The sequence below is a fragment of the Homo sapiens genome, chromosome 17, assembly GCF_000001405.40.
Source record: "Homo sapiens chromosome 17, GRCh38.p14 Primary Assembly".
In the NCBI taxonomy this organism is placed as follows: Eukaryota; Metazoa; Chordata; class Mammalia; order Primates; family Hominidae; genus Homo; species Homo sapiens.
In genome coordinates this window covers 65,916,274-65,936,559 of record NC_000017.11, presented here as the reverse complement: position 1 = coordinate 65,936,559, position 20,286 = coordinate 65,916,274, and the positions used below count along the sequence as shown (strand labels likewise).

Below are 20,286 nucleotides of genomic sequence, written 5' to 3'. Positions count from 1 at the left end.
GTTGAATTCTGGGTTTTGTTTTTTTATTGCTAGTATTTTATTGAAGATTTTTGCATCTATGTTCATTAGGGATATTGGCCTGTAATGTTCTTTCCTTGTGTCCTTGTGTGTTTTTGGTATCAGGGTAACATTGGCCTTATGATATGAGTTTGGAAATATTCCCTCTACTTCAGTTTTTTGGGAAGAGTTTGAGCAGGATTGATATTAGTTCTTCTAATGTTTGGTAGAATTCAGCAGTGAGCTGAAGCTTCTCTTTGTTGAGAAGCTTCTCTTTTTCATCATGTCCTGAGCTTCTCTTTGTTGAGAAGTTTCTTGCTAATGATTCAGTCTCCTTAGTCATTGCTGGTCTGTTCAGATGTTCTATTTCTTCATGACTCAGTCGTGGTAGGTTCTATATGTGTAGGAATTCATCTGTTTCCTCAGCTATACAATTTGTTGATGTATAGTGGTTCGTAATTCTCCCTTGTTTTTGTGTTTCTATATTATCGATTTTAAAGTCTGCCCTTTCATTTCTGATATTATTTATTTGAGTCTTCTCTTTTATTCTTAGTCAAGCTAATGTTTAGTAAATTTTATTTTTTTGAAAAACCAACTCGTAGTTTCATTGATCTTTTTTATTGTTTTTCTAGTCTCTATTTCATTTTTTTCTGCTCTGATCTTTATGACTTCCTTCCTTCTCCTAACTTTAGGCTTAGTTCATTTTTCCTTTTTTTTAGTTCTGAGGTATAATATTAGGTTGTTGATTTGAGGTTTGTCTTTCTTTTTTTAAAAAAATGCCATTAATTTCCCTTGTAGGACTCCTTTTGCTATATCCCATAAGTTTTGGCATCCTGTGTCCCGTTTTTGTTTGTCTCAAGTTTTTTTTTAATTTTTCTTTTGATTTTTTTGACTTACTGGTTGTTCAGGATTATGTTATTTTCACATATTTGTGAATTTTCCAAGGTTTCTCCTGTTAATTGATTTTTAATTTCATACCATTGTGATTGAAAAAGACACTTTATATTATTTAAATCCTCTTAAATTTGTTAAGACTTGTTTTGTAGCCTAACATAGTTCTGCAGAATGTTTCATGTTGTACTTGAGACATAAGTGTATTCTCTTGCTGCTGGATGGAATGCTGAGCATAATGTCTTTTAGGTACATTTGCTCTAAAGTGTAGTTTAAGTCTGATGTTTCCTTATTGATGTTCTATGTGGATGATCTGTCTACTGTTGAGAGTGTAGTACTGAAGTTCTCTCCTGTTATTGTATTACAGTCTATCTCTTCCTTCATATCTATGAATATTTGCTTTATATATTTAGGTGCTGTTATATTGGGTATGTATATGTTTGTAATTGTTATATCCGTTTGATGAGTGGAGCCCCTTATCACTATATGATGACCTTCTGTTTCTCATTTTACAGTTTTGACTTAAATTCTATGATATGGTTTGGCTCTGTGTCCCCATCCAAATCTCACCTCAAATTGTAATCCCCATAATCCCCACGTATGAAGTGTGGGACCAGGTAGAGGTAATTGGATCATGGAGGTGGTTTCCCCCATGCAGTTCTCTTGATAGTGGGTGAGTCTCATGAGAGCTGATGGTTTTATAAACATCTGGCATTTCCCTTGCTTGTACTCACTCTGTCCTGTTGCCCTGTGAAGGAGGTGTCTTTCTTCCCCTTTGCCATCTACCATGATTGTAAATTTCCTGAGGCCTCCGCAGCCATGCTGAACTGTGAGTCAATTAAATGTCTTTCCTTCATAAATTGCCCAGTCTCATGTATGTCTTGATAGCAGTGTGAGAATGGACTAATGTACTCTATTTTATCCAATTTAAATATATCTACCCTTGCTCTCTTTTCATTTCTATTTGCATGAAATATCTTTTCTATCCCTTCGCTTTTAGTCTATTTGTGTCCATAAACATGACATGAGTCTCTTGTAGGAAACATGTAGTTGAGTTTTGTTTATTTATCCAGTTACTTTATGTCTTTTGATTGGAGAATTTAGTTCATTTATATTCAAAGTAATTATTGATAGGTAAGGATTCAGTACTTCCATTTTGTAATTTATTTTCTGGTTGTTTTGTAGATTCTTTGTTCTTTTTTTCTTCCTCACTTGCTATCTTTCTTTGCAGTTTGATGATTTTCTGTAGTGATATGCTTTGAATCCTTTCTTTTTATGTTTTGTGCAACTACTATAGGTTTTTACTTTGTGGTTACCATGCAACTTACATAAAACATCTTCTACTTATAACAGGCTACTTCAAGATGATAATAACTTTATTGCATATAAAAACTGTACACTTTTATTCTCCCTTAATTTTATGTTTTTGATTTCACAATTTACAGCTTTTTATAATTTGTATCCTTTAACAATTTTTTTTTTTGAGACAGAGTCTTGGTCTGTCACCCAGGCTGTAGTGCAGTGGTGTAATCTCAGCTCATTGCAACCTCCGCCTCCCAGGTTCAAGCAGTTCTCGTGCCTCAGCCTCCCGAGTAGCGGGGACTACAGGCACACACAACTGTGCCCATGTAACTTTTGTATTTTTAGTAGAGATGGGGTCTTACTATGTTGCCCAGGCTGGTCTTGAACTCCTGAGCTCAAGTGGTCTGCCCACCTCAGCCTCCCAAAGTGCTGGGATTACAGACATGAGTCACCACACCTGGCCTCCCTTAACAGTTTATTGCAGTTATAGTTGCTTTTAAAAGTTTTGTTTTTTAAGCATCATACTAGAGATAAAATTGCTTTACACACCATACTTACAGCACTAAAGTCTTCTGAGTATGACTATGTATTACTTATACCATTGAGTTTTTTACTTTCATATGTTTTATGTTATTAGCATATGAAAGTGACTGTTTCTCAGCTTAAATAACTCCTTTTCATAATTCCTGTAAGGCAAGACTCATGGTGATGACCTCCCTCATTTTCGGGGGAAGATGGAGGTGCGGGAAGATTTTACTTCTCTCTTATTTCTGAAGGATAACTTTGCCAGGTAGAGTATTCTTGATTGACAGCTTTTTTCCTTCAGTACTTTGAGTATATATCTTCCCACTGTCTCCTGGCATGCAGGGTTTCTGCTGAGAAATCTGCTGATAGCCATGTTACAACTCCCTTGTATGTGATATGTATCTTCTGTCTTTTGGTTTTCAGAATTCTTTCTTTGTTTTTGATTTTTGATAATTGATTATGATGTGTCTTCGTGAACTGTCTTTGGGTTGAATTCGATTGTAACCTCTGAATCTTCTGTCCCTGGATATTGACATGTTTTTCTAGATTTGGGAAGCTTTCAGCCATTATTTTCTTAAATATGCTTTTTTGGGGGGCATTTCTCTCTCTCTTCTCCTTTGGATCTCCTATTATGTGAAAGTTAGGTCTCTTGATGGTGTCCCATAATTTTCATAAGCCTTCTTTATTCTTTTTACTTTTTGCTCCTGTGACTCAATAATTTTAAATGTCCTGTCTTTGAACTCACTGATTCTTTCTTCTATTTGTTTGAGTCTGATGTTCAAGCTTTTAATAAAATTTTTCAGTTTAGTTATTGTATTCTTTATCTCTAGGATTTCTATTTTTAAAAATAATTTCCGTTCCTTTGTCAAACTAATTCTTTTGTCTGCATATTGTTTTCCAAGTTTTATTTACTTTTCTATCCATATTTTCTTATAATTCTATTGATACGGTGTAGATCTGTGTCCCAAACCAAATTTCATTTCAGATTGTAATTCCCAGTTTTGGAGTCTGGGCCTGGCGGGAGGTGATTGAATCATGGGGGCGGGTTCTCCTGAATGATTTAGCATCATCCCCTTGGTGCTGTTCTCGTGGAAGTGAGGGTGTTCTCATGAGATCCGGTTGTTAAACGTGTGTGGCACCTTCGCCCTCACTCTCTCTTGCTCCTACTCTAGCCATGTGATGCACCTGTTCCCCCTTTGCCTTCTGCCATGATTGTAAGTTTCCTGAGGCCCCTCTAGAAGCTGAACAGACGGTAGCATCATGCTTCCTGTACAGCCTGTTGAACTGTGAGCCAATTAAACCTCTTTTCCTTTATAAATTCCACTCTCAGGGCTTTATAGCAATGCAAGAACAAACTAATACATCCGTGATCTTCTTAGAAGGAATATTCTGAATTGTCAGTCATTTTATAGATCCTCATATTTTTAGGGTTCATTGTTGGAGCTTTCTCTCTTAGTTTCTTTTTGTGGCGTATATTTCCTTGATTTTTTTTGTAATCTTTGTGTACTTACCTTCATGTCTGTACGTTTGATGAATTGGCTTCCTCTTTTGGCCTTTGTAGATGTCCTTTGGTGGGGATGGACACTTTCAATATTTAGTCTAGCCTAAGATTCTGGATGGACCAGCTGATAGTGACCATGAGCAAGCAGATTTTGCTATTGGGTTCTTTAGTTACGAGGGGCTGCTGCCTGTTATATGAAGTCAGGTGTGGCTCCTGGTTGTGCTTCACAGTCCAGTGAGACCATTGGCTAGGCTGCATAATCAAGCACAGCTGCTGGCTGGGCTCTGTGATAACCTCTGATTAGGCAGGGTTGCAGGCTGGGTTCCCTGGCATGGTGGTACTCATGTTTGAAATCTGTAGTTGGACAGGGCTGAAGGTCAGACTCCAATGCTGTCAAGGTCTCTGGGGTTGCTGCTCAGCCAGCCACTCAGATGGGCAAAGCTAGATGCTATGCCCACAATTATGTGTAGTTTTGGGCTTGGCTCCCTGCCTGCACCTCAGGCTGGGCTCCAACACTAGACAGGGGCAATCACTGCTAAGATTGTATTGGACTACATGCTCTGCTCTGCAGATATGCAGGGATCTGGGCTTGCCTCTGAGCCTGGGGAAGTATGCCAAGCTCTGAGGCTGGGTGGCAAATCTGGCTAGGGACTTGAGCTTGGCAGATCTGTCAACTGTGCTTCCTGCTCAGTGATGCTATTTGTTGTTCTCTCTGGTTGGGTGCCTCCACTGGCCAGAATGCAGAGGTTGCTGTGAGCTCCATTTTCCCTTCATTGTTTATAGCTGATCTCAGATGTTCTAGCCCTGCTAATACTCCCAATGTTCCTTTTAAGGCGAGGCAGAAGTGGGCCTCCTGCCAAACATCTTGGAATGCTGGGAAAGCTGGATGTTCACCTCTTTCCCACTGTAGAAACCATGGGCCCAGGGGAATCCTCTCTGTGTGGCACTATGGTGGTTTGTGGGAGAGATGATACAGTCAACGTGAAACCATTTCTATTATTTTTGTAATGTGACTTTTGTTAGTTCTGTAATCCAAGAGCATGTGTCAGCCTCACTCCTATGTTCTGGAATATTCACGAAGGTTTTCTTGTCTGTGAATTGTTGCTAGTTGGATTTCTATGAGATAGACTGGAGCTGTGGAACTTTTATTCTACCATCTTGCTGATGTCCCTCCTCCTCATCCTTAAGAATTTAATACATCTTTACTTCGCATACCATGGCAGCTATTTAATAAATATACAAAAGAAAGACTTGCCATAGTTCTTTTATTTGTGGGCTCATTATCTGCATTACTAAACAAAGCTTACATATTTGAAACATTTCCATTTTATAGAGAAATACACAATGTGCTAGAAGAATAAAGATGTTAAGTCCTAGAGCATAGAGAGAAGGAAGGCATTTATTCAGTTAGTGGGATTAAAGAACACCTTAGAGAAGAAGGAAAACCTGAGTCAACTTTGAAAAGACTGACTGGATGAAAAAAAAAAATGAAAAGACCTACTGATAGTATGATGGGCAAAAGGCCCTAGAGTCAAGAACAGCCATGGCTTGCTTGGAAAATATCAAGGGTACTGGAGTCTGGATTGCCGAGGACAGATTAAGGAGAATCTCACTTGAGGTCCAATATGAAAAGCACTGAAAGAAAGAGAGTCTTGAAACCAAAGTCTTGAGTTAGAAACAAAAAACCAAAGTGTGCTTGACTGTGCTTCCTTTAATCATTCCTTAAATTTATTCTTGACCACAATACTAATTATCTATGAATCAGTAATCTTAGAACTCTAATTGAATTTTACACTGATGACTTAATATTTTTGGGATTGCAATCCTTGGTATTTACAAAGAAATACTTGGGTGCTAAATAGCATGCTATAATCTAGAGGGCATTCAAACTTCAATGTAAGAACCAGAAACTGGAATGTGGTGTTAGACACAGTAGTGGGTGGTAATATGCATTTTGTTCTCATGCAGTGAAACTCGTTGCCTTTCACTGAACATCTTTGTTCCTAGAACCTTAAAGTCTAATCATGTCTGAATAAATGCATTGAAATGTTTTTTTCAAATATATTGTGAAAAACTGTGAAAGAAGCATTTTTCATAGTTCATTTCCTCCAATATTCGTGTCTTAACTAATCTTAGTGCTTACCAAAAGGTAACCTGAAAGAAGGCATTGTGTACAAGCTGAACAAAGTACAAGTAGTTCCATATACCAGTGAAGCAGAATAATAAGTAATATAAAGTAGCCAGTGGTAGAATGGTTGCCACGTTAGCTGGTAATTGCCTCAGACAAAAAATATTGTCTTAAGTTATACCCAAATGTGCAGGGGTTTAAAGACAAGTAAAATACTGCATTGCTTTGAATAAAAGGCACCATTTTCATGTTGTTGACATGGAGAGCTTTTTCATGACTGTAAGAACATCTCTTTCTCATTGCATCTGATCATAACATGGACAAAGTGATAGAAAAAGTTAGATCCAACATGCTTTTATTTATTTTGTGTGTGTTTTAAAGAATTTGGAACTAAACGTTGGAAATTGTAAATTCAGCAAGTCTTGAACCAAGTTGGGTACACTGTGCAATCTTTGTTTTCATTTGATTAGTATTTATTGATTCCCTGTATGTGCCAGGCACTGTGATAAATCGTTGATACTATTTCACTGACGACAGTGAACATGGGGTGACATTACACTGCAGGAGAGACATTACAAACAGCCCTAATGAAGATGTAGATTATATAGTGAATCTGAAGGTGATATATCCTGTGGAACAAAAGGGTAGCTAAGCAGGGATAGGGGGACTAGGTGGACTTAGTGGCTGGGGAATTGCAATGTACAATTTAAAATTGAGTGGTCTAGAAGGTCTCAGTACAAAGGTGATGCTAAACAAAGCCTCAATACTTTGAGAAAGAAACTGTGTGAATATCAGGCAGAACCTCCTGCCCACAAGGTGAGAGCACTTCTGACACATTATAGGCCTGGGCAGCAGGTAGGTGGACTGTGGTGGTGGTAGTGGGATAGAGCAGTAGAGATGAGCTGTGAGAGGTCACTGGGATTGGATTATGTGAGGCCTCATGGGTGTGGTGGAATCTTTGACTTTTCCTTTTTCCGCTTTCTTTTTTAATAACAGCTTTGTTGAGATAAAATTCACATACCAACAATTCACTCGTATGTGTACAATTCAGTGGTTTTAAAAAATGTATTCAGGATGTTATGCAAACATCATCACAATCAATTTTAGAAAATGTTCATCTTCCCCCAAAGAAACACCATACCCTTTAACAGTTACCGTCCCAGATCACCATCTCACCCTAGGCAACCACTAATCTGTTTTCTGTTTCTATGGATTTGCCTATTCTGGAAATTTAATATAAATGGAATCCTACAGTATGTGGTCTGTTGTGACACTTAGCTTAATGCTGTCAAGGCTCATCCATGTTATAACATGTGTTAGTTTTTTTTCTATTTATAATTAATTTTTGTTTTGAGACAGGATCTTACTCTTTTTCCCAGGCTGGAATGCAGTGGTGCAGTCATGGCTCACTGCAGCTACAACCTCTGGGGCTTAAGCGATCCTGCTGCCTTAGCCTCTCGAATAGCTGAGACTGTAGGCCCATGCCACCACGCTCGGCTAATTTTTTTTCTTTTTTGTAGAGACACAGTCTCACTATGTTGCCTACACTGGTCTCCGACTCCTGGGCTCAAGCGATCCTCCTGCCTCAGCCTCCCAGAGTACATGTATTAATACTTCTTTCCTTTTTATGATTGAATAATATTCTACTGTAAGAATATACCACGTTTTGTTTATTCATTTATCAACTGATGGATATTTGGGTGGTTTCCTCTTTTTGGATGTTATGAATAATGCTACTATAAACATTTGTAGACAAAGTTTTTTGTGGATGTATGTTCTCATTTCTTACCTTGGAGTGGAACTACTGGGACACATGTAACTCTATTTAATGTTTTGAGGAATTGTCAGACAGACTGTATTCCAGCATGTCTATACCATTTTATATTCCCAGCAGCAGTGTTGAAGGTTCTGACTTCTCTACGTCTTTACCAATACTTGTTACTATTTGTCCTTTTTTATTATTGCTATTCTTTGGGGCATGAAGTGATATGTCATTCTTGTTTTAATTTGTAGTTGCTTAAAGACAGTGATGTTGAGCATCTTTTCAAATGCTTTTTGGCCTTTTGTATATCTTTTTGGAGAAATATCTATTCAGGCTCTTTGCCCACTTTAAAATTGAGTTTAATTATCCATTTATTATTGGGCTATAAGAGTTCTTTATATATTCAAGATATGTCTCTTATTAGAGATATGATTTGGAAATATTTTATCTCATTCAGCACATACCAAGGGCTTAATTAAATTTTGTTCAATAAATATTAGAATGCCTTAAATTATATTTTCACTGCATTATTGTTGTAATTTTAGAATTTAGTCAATTATATACCAATTTTAATTTCCCTCCTTAAATAATTAAAATATATTAAAATGAATTGATAAATGTCTCATTATTTTAATACATTTAAATTCATCATTATTATTGGTGAGGTGCTTAAAATCTGTCATTTAAACAAATGGACAAATTACAAAAACATGGAACACAATTGTTTGTTTAAAAAATTAATATTTGATTTTTAAATTTTATAGATGGAAAAAGTGGAGGCAGATCTAACTAGATCCAAATCTCTTCGTGAGAAACAATCAAAGGAGTTTTTATGGCAACTGGAGGACATCAGACAGCGGTATGAACAACAGGTTGGTCTTTCATTTTGATGCTGCCATTAAATTTTTAAAATACATATATGATTTATCTTTTAAAAATCACTATCACAAAATATCTGCATAATGAAAATATTACTAAGAGCTGTTGTTACCAATATATTTAAAATAATGTTTGTTTCAATAAAATCTATAAACAGAATTTTAACACTCCACTGAAGTTTATTCTGACTGTTTGTTTTATCTGAATGTTTGATTGAAACATCGATTATAATTGATGAGACTGGGTAGTTTATAAGAAAAGAGATTTGATTGGCTCACAGTTCTGCAGGTTGTGCAGAAAGCATAGTGGCCTCTGTTTCTGGAGAGGCCTCAAGAAGCTCCCAATCATGGCAGAAGGAAGCAGAAGCAGGCACCTTACATGGCAAAAGCAGGAACCAGCAAGTGAACCAGTGAGAGAGAGAGAGAGAGAAGCGAGGAGGTGCCGTACACTTTTAAATGACCAGGTCACTCAAACTCAGAGTGAGAGCTCACTTATCACCAAGGGGATGGCCCAAGCCATTCATGACGGATCCGCCCCCATGATCCAAACACCTCCCACAAGGCCGCACCTCCAACACTGGGGATTACATTTCAACATGAGATTTGGGTGGGAACAAGTATCCTAACAATATCAGTCATTCTTCTATCCTGTCAGAGCACTAGTTAAACCTCCATTTATTTGAGAAATAGGGTTGAGTACTTACTATGTGCCAGGTGCTGTCCCTGGCATGAGGGAGAACAGCAACAGAGAGAACATGCCTCCTCTCTCATGGAGCTTGCTTTTCGATGAGTCATCAGTCTACAAATTAAAAAGTGAAATAATTTTGAAGAGTGAGTTATTATTATTATTATTATTATTATTTGAGAAGGAGTCTCACTCTCTCACCCAGGCTGGAGTGCAATGGCGCCATCTTGGTTCACTGCAACCGCCACCTCTCGGGTTCAAGCGATTCTTCTGCCTCAGCCTCCCAAGTAGCTGGGATTACAGGCACACGCCACCACGTCCGGCTAAATTTTGTAATTTTAGTAGAGACAGGGTTTCACCATGTTGGCCAGGCTGGTTTTGAACTCCTGATTTCAGGTGATCTGCCCACCTCAGCCTCCCAAAATGCTGTGATTACAGGTGTGAGCCACCACACCCGGCCTGAAGAGTGACTTATGAAGAAGAAAAGATGGTACCTTTATAGCCTTTGCCAGGTGGAGGGTGGGAAGGAGATTATAGCCTTGAATAACTGATCAGGGTTTCCCTGACATTTGTGCTGAGTTCTAAAAACTAGGAAGGAGCCAGCCATGAGCTCTGGAGGAATAGTATTCCAGTCTGAGGGAACTGCACGTTCAAAAATCCTGAGAAGAGAGCAAGCTGGAAGTGTTCAAGGAAAATAAATGATGATGAAGACCAGGTTAGCCAGAGTATGGGGAGAAAGGTTCCTGCTGTAGGAGATGAAGGGAAAGAGGGAGGTTAGGACCGGTTTGTGTAAGGAGTTGAGATTTTGTCGTCAGTGCTCTGCCTCTTACTTAGTAATACAAAGTTTTATTTTCTTCTTTTAAAAATATATTTCTGCTTATTCCCAGAATACTTAAGATTACCATTAATTTTTAGCTTGGTTTTGCTTTGGTAAACATGATCCTAAACCTCAGTGGCTTAGAACAAAAAAGGCTTATTTCATACTTATGTCACGTGTCCTTTGAGGATTGACTGCAGCTCTGACCCATGTCATGTCATCTTGAGTCGTTTTTAGAATGAACTATCTGGAACATTGCTATGGGAAATGGAAAAGGAAATATTTTGAGCATTTGCTGTCTTCTAAAATTGACTCAGAAGTAAGTTTACTCACATTTTATTGGCCAAAGCAAACATGGCCTCCCTGGTGTAATCCTCCGCCTGGAAGGAGTATCACAGAGAAGACCATCAAATGGGGTTAGCGTAAAACAATTTACCATGCTGACTACGATTGCAAACTTAGAAAATGTAAAAACGTAGAAAATGCTGGAACTGGATTTTAAAGGCACATTCTTCATCAAGCAGCACAGGCGTTATGATGCTGGACCAGTAGAAAAGGAAATGTAGTCTTAGCAGACAAAATATTCATCAGTGAACAGTATATACATAGACATAATAATTAGATGACATTTATTGTTTTCAGCTTTAAAAACTAGCTTAGGGTTACAGAACAGGACATAGATGTTACCAACTGTATTAGTCTGTTCTCACGCTGCTAATAAAGACATACCCAAGACTGGGTAATTTATAAAGGAAAGAGGTTTAATGGACTCACAGTTCCACATGGCTGAGGGGGCCTCACAATCATGGCAGAAGGAGAAGCAAAATCACCTTTTATGTGGTGGCAGGCAAGAGAGCTTGTGCAGGGGAACTCCCATTTATAAAACCGTCGGATCTTGTGAGACTTATTTACTACCATGAGTATAGTACGGGGGGAAGCTGCCCCCATGATTTAATTATCTCCACCTGGTCCCGCCCTTCACACGTGGGGATTATTACAATTCAAGGTGAGATTTGGGTGGGGACACAGCCAAACCATATCACCAGCCTTGCTATTGTAACAGTAAAGGTTAAGACGGTGTAGGTATGGAAGTGGAAGAAAGGGATGGAGGGGCTGGGAGGGGAAGGGTGAGAGTACTGAGGTATTATCATGAAGTGTGGATTTGAGCAGCTGCCCGTATCATGAAACAAAACACAGAGGCTTTAGTATATTCCTAATTACAGGGTTGACCACTGGAGGAAGTGAGAGGAGTGGAGTAACTAGTAAAATGGTGACAGGAGTGGGAGAGAGCAGCAAGGGAGTGTAAATGAGCTAAATCCCCATTTGTCCTAGTAGAAGGCCTATAAGGAATGTCTAGCTTTGGTAAATTAAGAAAGAGCTATGTAGCATATTTTGTAGAGGTAGGGAAGTAATCACCACAGAAAGGAGCACAGACATGTTTTAAAAGAGTTGCCACCAGTACAGGAGTGGGATGGGGCAAGGACCTGTTACTTTTTATTAGAAGATGATCTTTACCATTTTATTTTTAAAAATCATGTGTGCATGTATGCAGACACATATGCACATGTGAATATGTACACTCTATATATACATATTCATATGTAGGATATATATGTTCTATTGTTCCAAAAAAACTAATTCATATAGATTTTAATCCCAAAATTTTATTTCTTAGAACCTATCCTATAGAAATACTTATACATGTGCAAAAAAATGCATGTTCACATATGTTTCGGGAGGATTATTTGTAATACTGAAAAAAGTTATGAATAAAATGAATGATTAAATAAATTATGCTGGCCGGGCACGGTGGCTCATGCCTGTAATCCCAGCACTTTGGGAGGCCGAGGCAGGCGGATCACGAGGTTAGGAGATCGAGACCATCCTGGCTAACATGGCGAAACCCCGTCTCTACTAAAAATGCAAAAAATTAGCCGGGCATGGTGGTGGGCGCCTGTGGTCCCAGCTACTCGAGAGGCTGAGGCAGGAGAATGGTGTGAACCTGGGAGGTGGAGTCTGCAGTGAGCCAAAATCGCACCACTGCACTCCAGCCTGGGTGACAGAGCGAGACTCTGTCTCAAAAATAAATAAATAAATAATGCTAAATACCTACTGTGGAATACTATATACTTATTAAAAAGATTAATATAAATCTGAAGGTGCCAACATATGCAGATTTCTAAGACATATTGGTGAGGGGAATAAAGCGCTTTTTAGAACACTTTGTATATTATGATCCCATTGAAGTAAAATTAAAACATATGTGTCTCAAAGTTAGATATGTAAATTCAGTGAAAAAATTCTGTAAGATTATACATGACTATGGAATTGGCCTGGTATTATGGGTTAGGGTTATGATGAACTGAGACTTTCATTGTATGCTCTAAATAAAACTTTTTTACTTCAAATTTCATAATGATCATATGTTATGCATTACTTGGATAAGTAAAACATTAAAATTATGAATGCTAAGAAACATTAAAATGGAATAATATTTTGGAGCATTTATATTATATATATTTTTTCTTAGAGATGGGGTCTTGCTCTGTCTCCCAGGCAGGAGTGCAGTGGCATGATCATGGCTCACTGCAACCTTGAACTCCAGGGCTTGAGCAGTCCTCCTGCCTTAGCCTCCCAAAGTGCTGGGATTACAGGCTTGAGCCACCGTGCCTGGTCTATATTATATTCTGTAACATTTTAAGTGGGTAATAAATTTGGATTAATGAAATAGAAAATAAATTCAGACAATTTATATGCAATGTAAAAAATGACCAACAAATGAAAAGCCTAAAAGAGAAGAAAAGGTAGACGATAGAGCTGACAGATCATTTTCAACAGTGCCAAAGTATGGATAACTTCAGACTTTCTAACTGCAAAAGCCGGTGCAATGGAGTTATTCTATCAGATTCTTTTTTTTAAAAAAATGGTTTTATATAAAAATGAAGTAGTTAATTTCCGATTAATATGGGATGGCAACTGAAAGTCGTTCTGACACATGCTAAATTAAAAATAGGTATTTCCCCTGAAATACACTGTTATCTGAAGTGCCATGGAGGATGTTTTCCACAACTTTAGTGATGGGGGAAGTTGCTTGGAAACTGGTTTCAGAAACTAGGTTTAGAAAACTAGATGAAGAATTGGAGGCTGGAATTGGGGAGGAAGGGGTGGTAAGAGGGAAACAGAGGTAATAATCAAATGTAAATAAAAATATTAAGGAAGGGCAATGAATGTTACTTTTTATTATGCTATAGTTACAAAGTATAATTGAGGTAATTTTGTATTAAAAACAATATTAGAAGCACTAAGAAAAATAAGAAAAATGTCAGTTCCTCTAAGTAAACTGAGGAAGGAACAGGGGAGAAGGGAAAACCAAATTTAAAGCTCTTTATGTAACACAAATGCTAGTCAGAGGTTATGATACTACAGGATGAGTGTAAGATGTTGCAGAGTTCTCTGTGGGAGTTTTAAAATTATATTCTCATTTTGATGATAATCACATGGGTCACAAATTTATAACCAAGTGTGGCCAAATGATGTCAGCACCTGATCTGCATTTATTTTGTAATTGTTTTGGCACACCACTGACTTTGAAAGTCAGACACAATAAGAAAAAAACGCCAAGGAAAATTGAAATGCATTTGACTAAATAAAAAGTATTTTGAGTTAAAAAAGTAATTGAAGAAATAATTGAAGCAGATATCTTAGGCAAAGAGTAACTCTCCTTATAAAATTAATAAATGTATAATATATAAAAATAATTAGCAGATTAAATATAGTAATTAGCATAAACCATAAGAAAATCATTAATGTCCCAATAAGTGACCTGGCAAAGGAAAGAGAGAGATAAGAAATGAATTAAGTGAACAGCCATGTAGAAACATCGTTACTCTTGGTGTTAATAAAAATGCAAATTAGAATTAACCATGATGTGCCATCTAAAGTCGGTAAAAGTTTAGTGAAATTGGTACTTTTATACATGCTAGTGGCATTACAGGCTTTTTGGAAAGGATTTTGGCAGATTCTACCAAGAGTCATGAAAAACGCTTACACCCTCTGACCCAATTATCCTTAATCTCAAAAATCCTAGTTATTTTTTAGAGGATGGAATCATGGTGAATTCTTTTTTTCTATACCCCCTATTATCCACATTGTGACAGTTTCACTTTTTTAATGTAAAAAAAATATATAAATTTGTCTGGAAGCATGTAAACTTCAAAGGCTTTTCTCAGAATGATAGATTTTAAAATCTATCAAAGTTTTGTCTTTGTATTGATCAAAAATAATACTAACACAATAAGGGATACCGATAAATTCTTTAAAGAATTGATACTATTAATGGAAGCCATACACCATTGCATCCATTTTTCTTTCTTTTTTTCATGAAAAGAGATGATACAAATGTAGTATATAACAGGAATGTAAAAACACACACAAGCGTACCTCAGGTGGGTGCAGATTTCACCTGTTTTTATTCTTTCTATATCTAGAGGTCTATACATTAGAATCAATGCTGAGAATGAAGATCCCAGGTGGTAGTTCACTAAGGAAAGATGAAGGCAGGAGTATGAGCTAGTACATTTTAGGAGAATATTTATTGATGTGACAATATACAAACTTTTTTAGTTAGCTTTTTTTTTTCAGCAGAATATTCTGTTAACTGTAACAGTGTTTCCCCTGACCACTCCAAATTGTTAGGATTTTTTCCTGTGGAAGTTTATCATGACAAACGATAGGCATACAGTAGTGAGCTCTACAAGCCAGCATGAGTACACTAAGAATGAAGCCGATTAAACTAAGCTCATTTCCTTCTTTGAACAGGGCAGCCAGGCTGGTAGATAAGGAAATAGGAGTAGATGTAATATATCTGGCTTTCGTGGAGCCGTCTGACGGTGCCTACATGAAGGCAGTATGGGGAAATATGGTTTGAATATTGGTACCTTTATGTGGTTAAGTGATAGTTCAAAGGGCCATCTCTGAATGATTAGTGTTAACCTAAAGTGAGATTTCTGTGTCTCTCAGTCAGTCGAGGATGATAAGGGATTAAAAAAAAAAAGTTTAAAGTTTCCCAATGCTTAGAGTTCTGAGGAATAGTTAATATGTAGGATTAAAAAAAATGAGTTTTCTGCAGCTTTAAGCTGGCTGGAATTAAGAAGATTACATTTATTGAGGTTGAATATAAAATGCCATGGTTTGGTTTAGAAAATCAGTTGCAAAAGTAGAAGGAAGACAGAAAGCCTCAGAGATAAGGGGAGTGTGGTGCCTGGGACACAGGGGACAAGAGGGCTGGCAGATATGGTCCCAGCTATTGTTTACATTTCAGGTCACATAAGGAATAGGTCGATTTTGGTCACCACATTTTAAGCAGGCCACTGACAAACTCGAACATGTTCAGAGAAGAGTTTTCAGAGTGTAGAAAGGTCTGGAACTATGTCAGAGGGGAATATTTAAAGGGAGGATTGCATATCTCTCTGTTTGTAAATTTAAGGTCTGAATTTCAGGGAGTACTGGGCTTGGTCTGTGTGATAAAAATCCTAAAAGCCCACAGTTATTAGGATCTACCCTGGACCAGGCACTACTCTGCTTGCTTTACACATATTCAGCCACTCCCCATCTTCACAGTAATATATATATATAAAATATATGTATAATGCATATTATATATTATAATTATATATATATATATATATATATATATATATATATATATATATTTTGTTTGTTTGTTTTTAGACAGAGTCCTGGTCTGTCACCCAGGCTGGAGTGCCAGTGGTGCAATCTCGGCTCACTGCAACCTCTGCCACCCACGTTCAAGTGATTCTTCTGCCTCAGCCTCCCAAGTAGCTGGGATTACACGTGGTACGCCACCACTCCTGGCTAATTTTTGTATTTTTAGTAGAGACAGGGTTTCACCATGTTGGCTAGGTTGGTCTCGAACTCCTGATGTCAGGTGATCCACCTGCCTCTGCCTCCCAAAGTGCTGGGATTACAGGCGTGAGCCACTGCACCTGACTCACAGAAATCTTGTGAGGTAGCTACACTGTTTATTGTTTTCATCTTCTAGTTGTAGAAACTGAAGTACATCCATTTGAGTAAATGGCCCAGGGTCCCACAGAGTTCATAGGTGGTGGATTCGGAACCTGAACCTGAGGCCTGCCCTTGACCCCCACTCTAAATGCACTCCCGCGGAGTTCCAGGGGGCAGAAATTGAACCCATACATACATGGTACCATGAGGAATATTTTGAATTGTTTCAAGGTAGTTCTTTTCTAAAGAACTCCTCCTTCAAATGTGCAACAGTTTTTCTTGTGAGAAAGTAAGTTTCCAGTGTGAGTGGGTTGCGGTGTGTTTTTGGAGTATTCTGGAGGGATACTGTGCCTTCCGGGGGCTGTCTTACTGCAGTGGTCTCTTCCAAAACCAAGATTCTGGGACTTTCTGTTCATCTGCCTGATTAGATTCCCAGCCCCTCTTGACAGACCGACTTCTCTGATTCCACCGCTGACTCATTCATTTAGGTACCTGTCTGGCTGGATTTCCCTGTATCAGGACTCTTGCCTACTTTCTCAGTTGCCATTCAAATGGAAGTGTGAATATTTTTCTATTATTTTGTTTTACTTTTCTCTAAAAGGTAAAATTGTCAGTGTTATGATGATAGCATTTCACATCAGGAGGGGATTTAGACGCCGAGCATCTGGGCCCTTGCTTCTCCAACTCAGGTAAGGTGATCCCCGGGGGAGTGTGAGCAAGTGCCAGGGGTTCCTGAGGCTGCGTACATGCTTCCTGGAGTGTTGCATCCACTCAGTTCGATTGTGGGAAAGCAACGTAGTTTTACTATTGAGGTAACATTCCTATTAAAACAAACATAGACTTTCCTGTTTTGTAAAATGCAAAGTTCTCATGAAGAAGACAAAATAGGACATTTCAAAGAAACTTCCAGCTTGCAGAGGCTGCTTCAGGCTATGCCCTCAGATCCCCCAGGGGGGTGCTATTCATTTTCACTGCTGCTGAGAGTACTTTGGTGGAAAAGTTTTAAAAGCACTTATCCGGTCTAATCCTCACATTTTATAACGAGGGAACTGACTGACATTCAGAGGGAATGAATGGACTTGTGCCTCTGGGCCTCAGTTTCCTTCTCCAGTTTTAATTTTTGAGCCCCTCTCTTACAGAAAGCACCGTGCCAGGAACTGTAATGAAGTGAAAACAGCGAAGTAGTATTTTAAAGTATCTTAGCCAAAATCCAGGCATAAAGTGTGCAGATGTGGAAAGAAAAACATCAAACACATGGGCTAAATGCTCACACAAATATCCTGTAAAGCCCAAGCTTTCATCAAGATTTCCTGTTTCTTTCCTGTATAACCCATTGGAACAAAAAGACAATTCTAATTGTCTTTTCACAAACCTCATTCAAGTTGGAAACAAACAACCAACCAGGCATGCTAGGACTTCCTGGACTATAGAGATTTCTTTGGCAACTCCATGAGATCATTCTTTAATCTTGTGTTTTATATCTTTGCTTTCCACTACAAAGCCTTGAAGGAGAAATGTAGTTCAGCAGATAAACAAGTGGCCAGCTTCTCCAGAAAGAATAAGTGCTTATTGTCAATGATTACAAAAAAAACAAAAAACAAAAAACACTGAAGGGCCAACTTCTTACAAGCTGCCATTATTTAAAACTTAAAATATTTTGTTAGCAAACACAGTAGCAAAGACAAAACAAATTCTGCAAGATAAGCAAGTAGGAAATTTTAAGTGAAGGTCAGTTGGGATATTTAAAAAGCAGATAGCACGTGATTCCCAATCCTTGTCCTTTGCAAATATTCTAGTCATTACTTAGCTAGGTGGTATAACCTTCAAGCTTAGGCTTCTTTTATTTTAATTTTAATTTTTTTTTTTTTTTGAGACAGAGTCTTGCTCTGTCACTCAGGCTGGAGTGCAGTGGCGCAATCTCGGCTCACTGCAACCTCCACCTCCCAGGTTCAAGCAATTCTCCTGCCTCAGCCTCCCAAGTAGCTGGGACTACAGGCACACGCCACCACGCCTGGCTAATTTTTTCTTGTATTTTAGTAGAGACAGGGTTTCATCGTGTTGCCCAGACTGGTCTTGAACTCCTGAGCTCAGGCAATCCACCTGCCTTGGCCTCTCAAAGTGCTAGGATTACAGGCGTGAGCCACCGCGCCCAGCCAGGTTTCTTTTAAATGAGACTATTTAGTCTACACTGGAAAAGGAGATGGTGGAAAGGAAGAGAGGGAGGAAAGGGGAAGACACTCACTAGTGTATGTTCCCAAGAAGGTGGAGATACTGGGCAGCTCCCCACATCACGTGGGGAGCTGCTGGCCTTGGATGATGGCCAGGTCTGTCTCCTGTGCCTCGTGAGAAAAGAAGGGAAGGCCAGGTGTGTAGAAGTTTGTGGATCTGCAAAAGGCAGATGAAGACATTCTTATTACTGAGGTTTTTCTTTGTCAGATAGGCGGCAAAATCATTTGCTGAGACTGGAGGAATTACATGGACAGGAGAGCAAATAAAAGTGGGAATTGTTTAAAATTATTTGGGTGATAGCAAGACTGATCCAAGTAGAAAGACTTCGTAAACTTTCTCTTCGGTATTGAGGTAATGTGGTAAATGACCATGGATTTGTGGGGCTCCCTAAAATCCCTTCCAAATGGATTACCATATGACTTATTGATTTCTAGATATGTATGATTTATGGTACATCCAGTATGCTGCTCTTACTCTCTTTTATTCTTGCTTACCTTATCATACTCTTTTTGAAAGTCTTTTTTTGCTTGACCTTCCTCTTCCAATTCCTAATACATTTTTGAACCCCAGCTACATATCAGCCCCTGTGGTCCTCAGTGGTGATCAAGACAAATGCAATCCTTGATCTAATGATGCTTCCTTTCAACTTACTTCTTTGAATAAGCACCAAATTCAGGGAATGCAGCTACACCACAAGTCACAGATTGGTCCTGCAGGCAATGGCAAAGTACCAGATTCCCAGCCATTAGGCTGCCAGACTCAGAGCCCCAGGCTGTGAGGCTATAGAGCCTGGGCCCCTGTGTCCAGGTCCAGTGGTCGGAGCCTAGAGTCATAGAAAGGGTGCTGATATTTAGTGAAAGGCAATTGAAGAGCCTTCTCTTCCTCTTTTTTTTTCTTTTGGCCTGGAGCTGTTCTCATCTAGGTTAAAACAAGTGGCACCTTTAGCTAGAGTGAATATTAAAAGAGCAAAGATGGGCTGGGTGCAGTGGCTTATGCCTGTATTTCCAGTAACTCAGGAGGCCCAGGAGGGAGGATTGCTTGGAGCTAGGAGTGAGAGACCAGCCTGGGCAACGTAGTGAGGCCCCCATCTCTATTAAAAAAAAAAAATTAGACTGGCATGGTGGCTTGCACCTGTGTTCCAAGCTATTTTAGAGGCTAAGGTGCGAGGGTTGTTTGAGCCTGGGAGTTCAAGGTTACAGTGAGCTTTGATAGCACCACTGCACTCCATCTAGCCTGGGTGACAGAGCAAGACCCCACCCACCCATTTCAAAAAAAAAAAAAGAAGCTGTTTTCCTGGATAGTGATATGGACTAACTCATTATTCCTTCTTTAAGTACATTAAAAATATAAAGTGGAACTAATGCCTTCTCAATCATTCATTATTTCACACATGTTTATTGAATTACTATGTGCTAAACACTCTTCCAAGTGCTTGGGATATAACAGTGAACAAAATATAGAGTCTTTACCCTTGTGATGGAAGAGAAAAACACTACCACTACCCACCACCACTACTCCTACCACACATACACACACACACACACACA

The 20,286-nt window shown here is 38.6% G+C and overlaps 1 protein-coding gene across 22 annotated transcripts in view; it reads left to right on the top strand.

Annotated features, from left to right (window-relative positions):
* CEP112 (centrosomal protein 112) overlaps positions 1-20,286 on the top strand; it is a 556,597-nt gene that overhangs the window by 255,574 nt on the left and 280,737 nt on the right. For all 22 annotated transcript variants that reach the window (XR_007065281.1, XR_007065280.1, XR_007065282.1 and 19 more), the window contains one exon: positions 8,871-8,978. Coding sequence is in view for 19 of the 22 variants with exons in the window: in NM_001353128.2 (NP_001340057.1) it covers positions 8,871-8,978 (108 nt within the window). In the remaining 3 variants the exon portion in view is untranslated. The remainder of the gene's footprint in view (positions 1-8,870; positions 8,979-20,286) is intronic.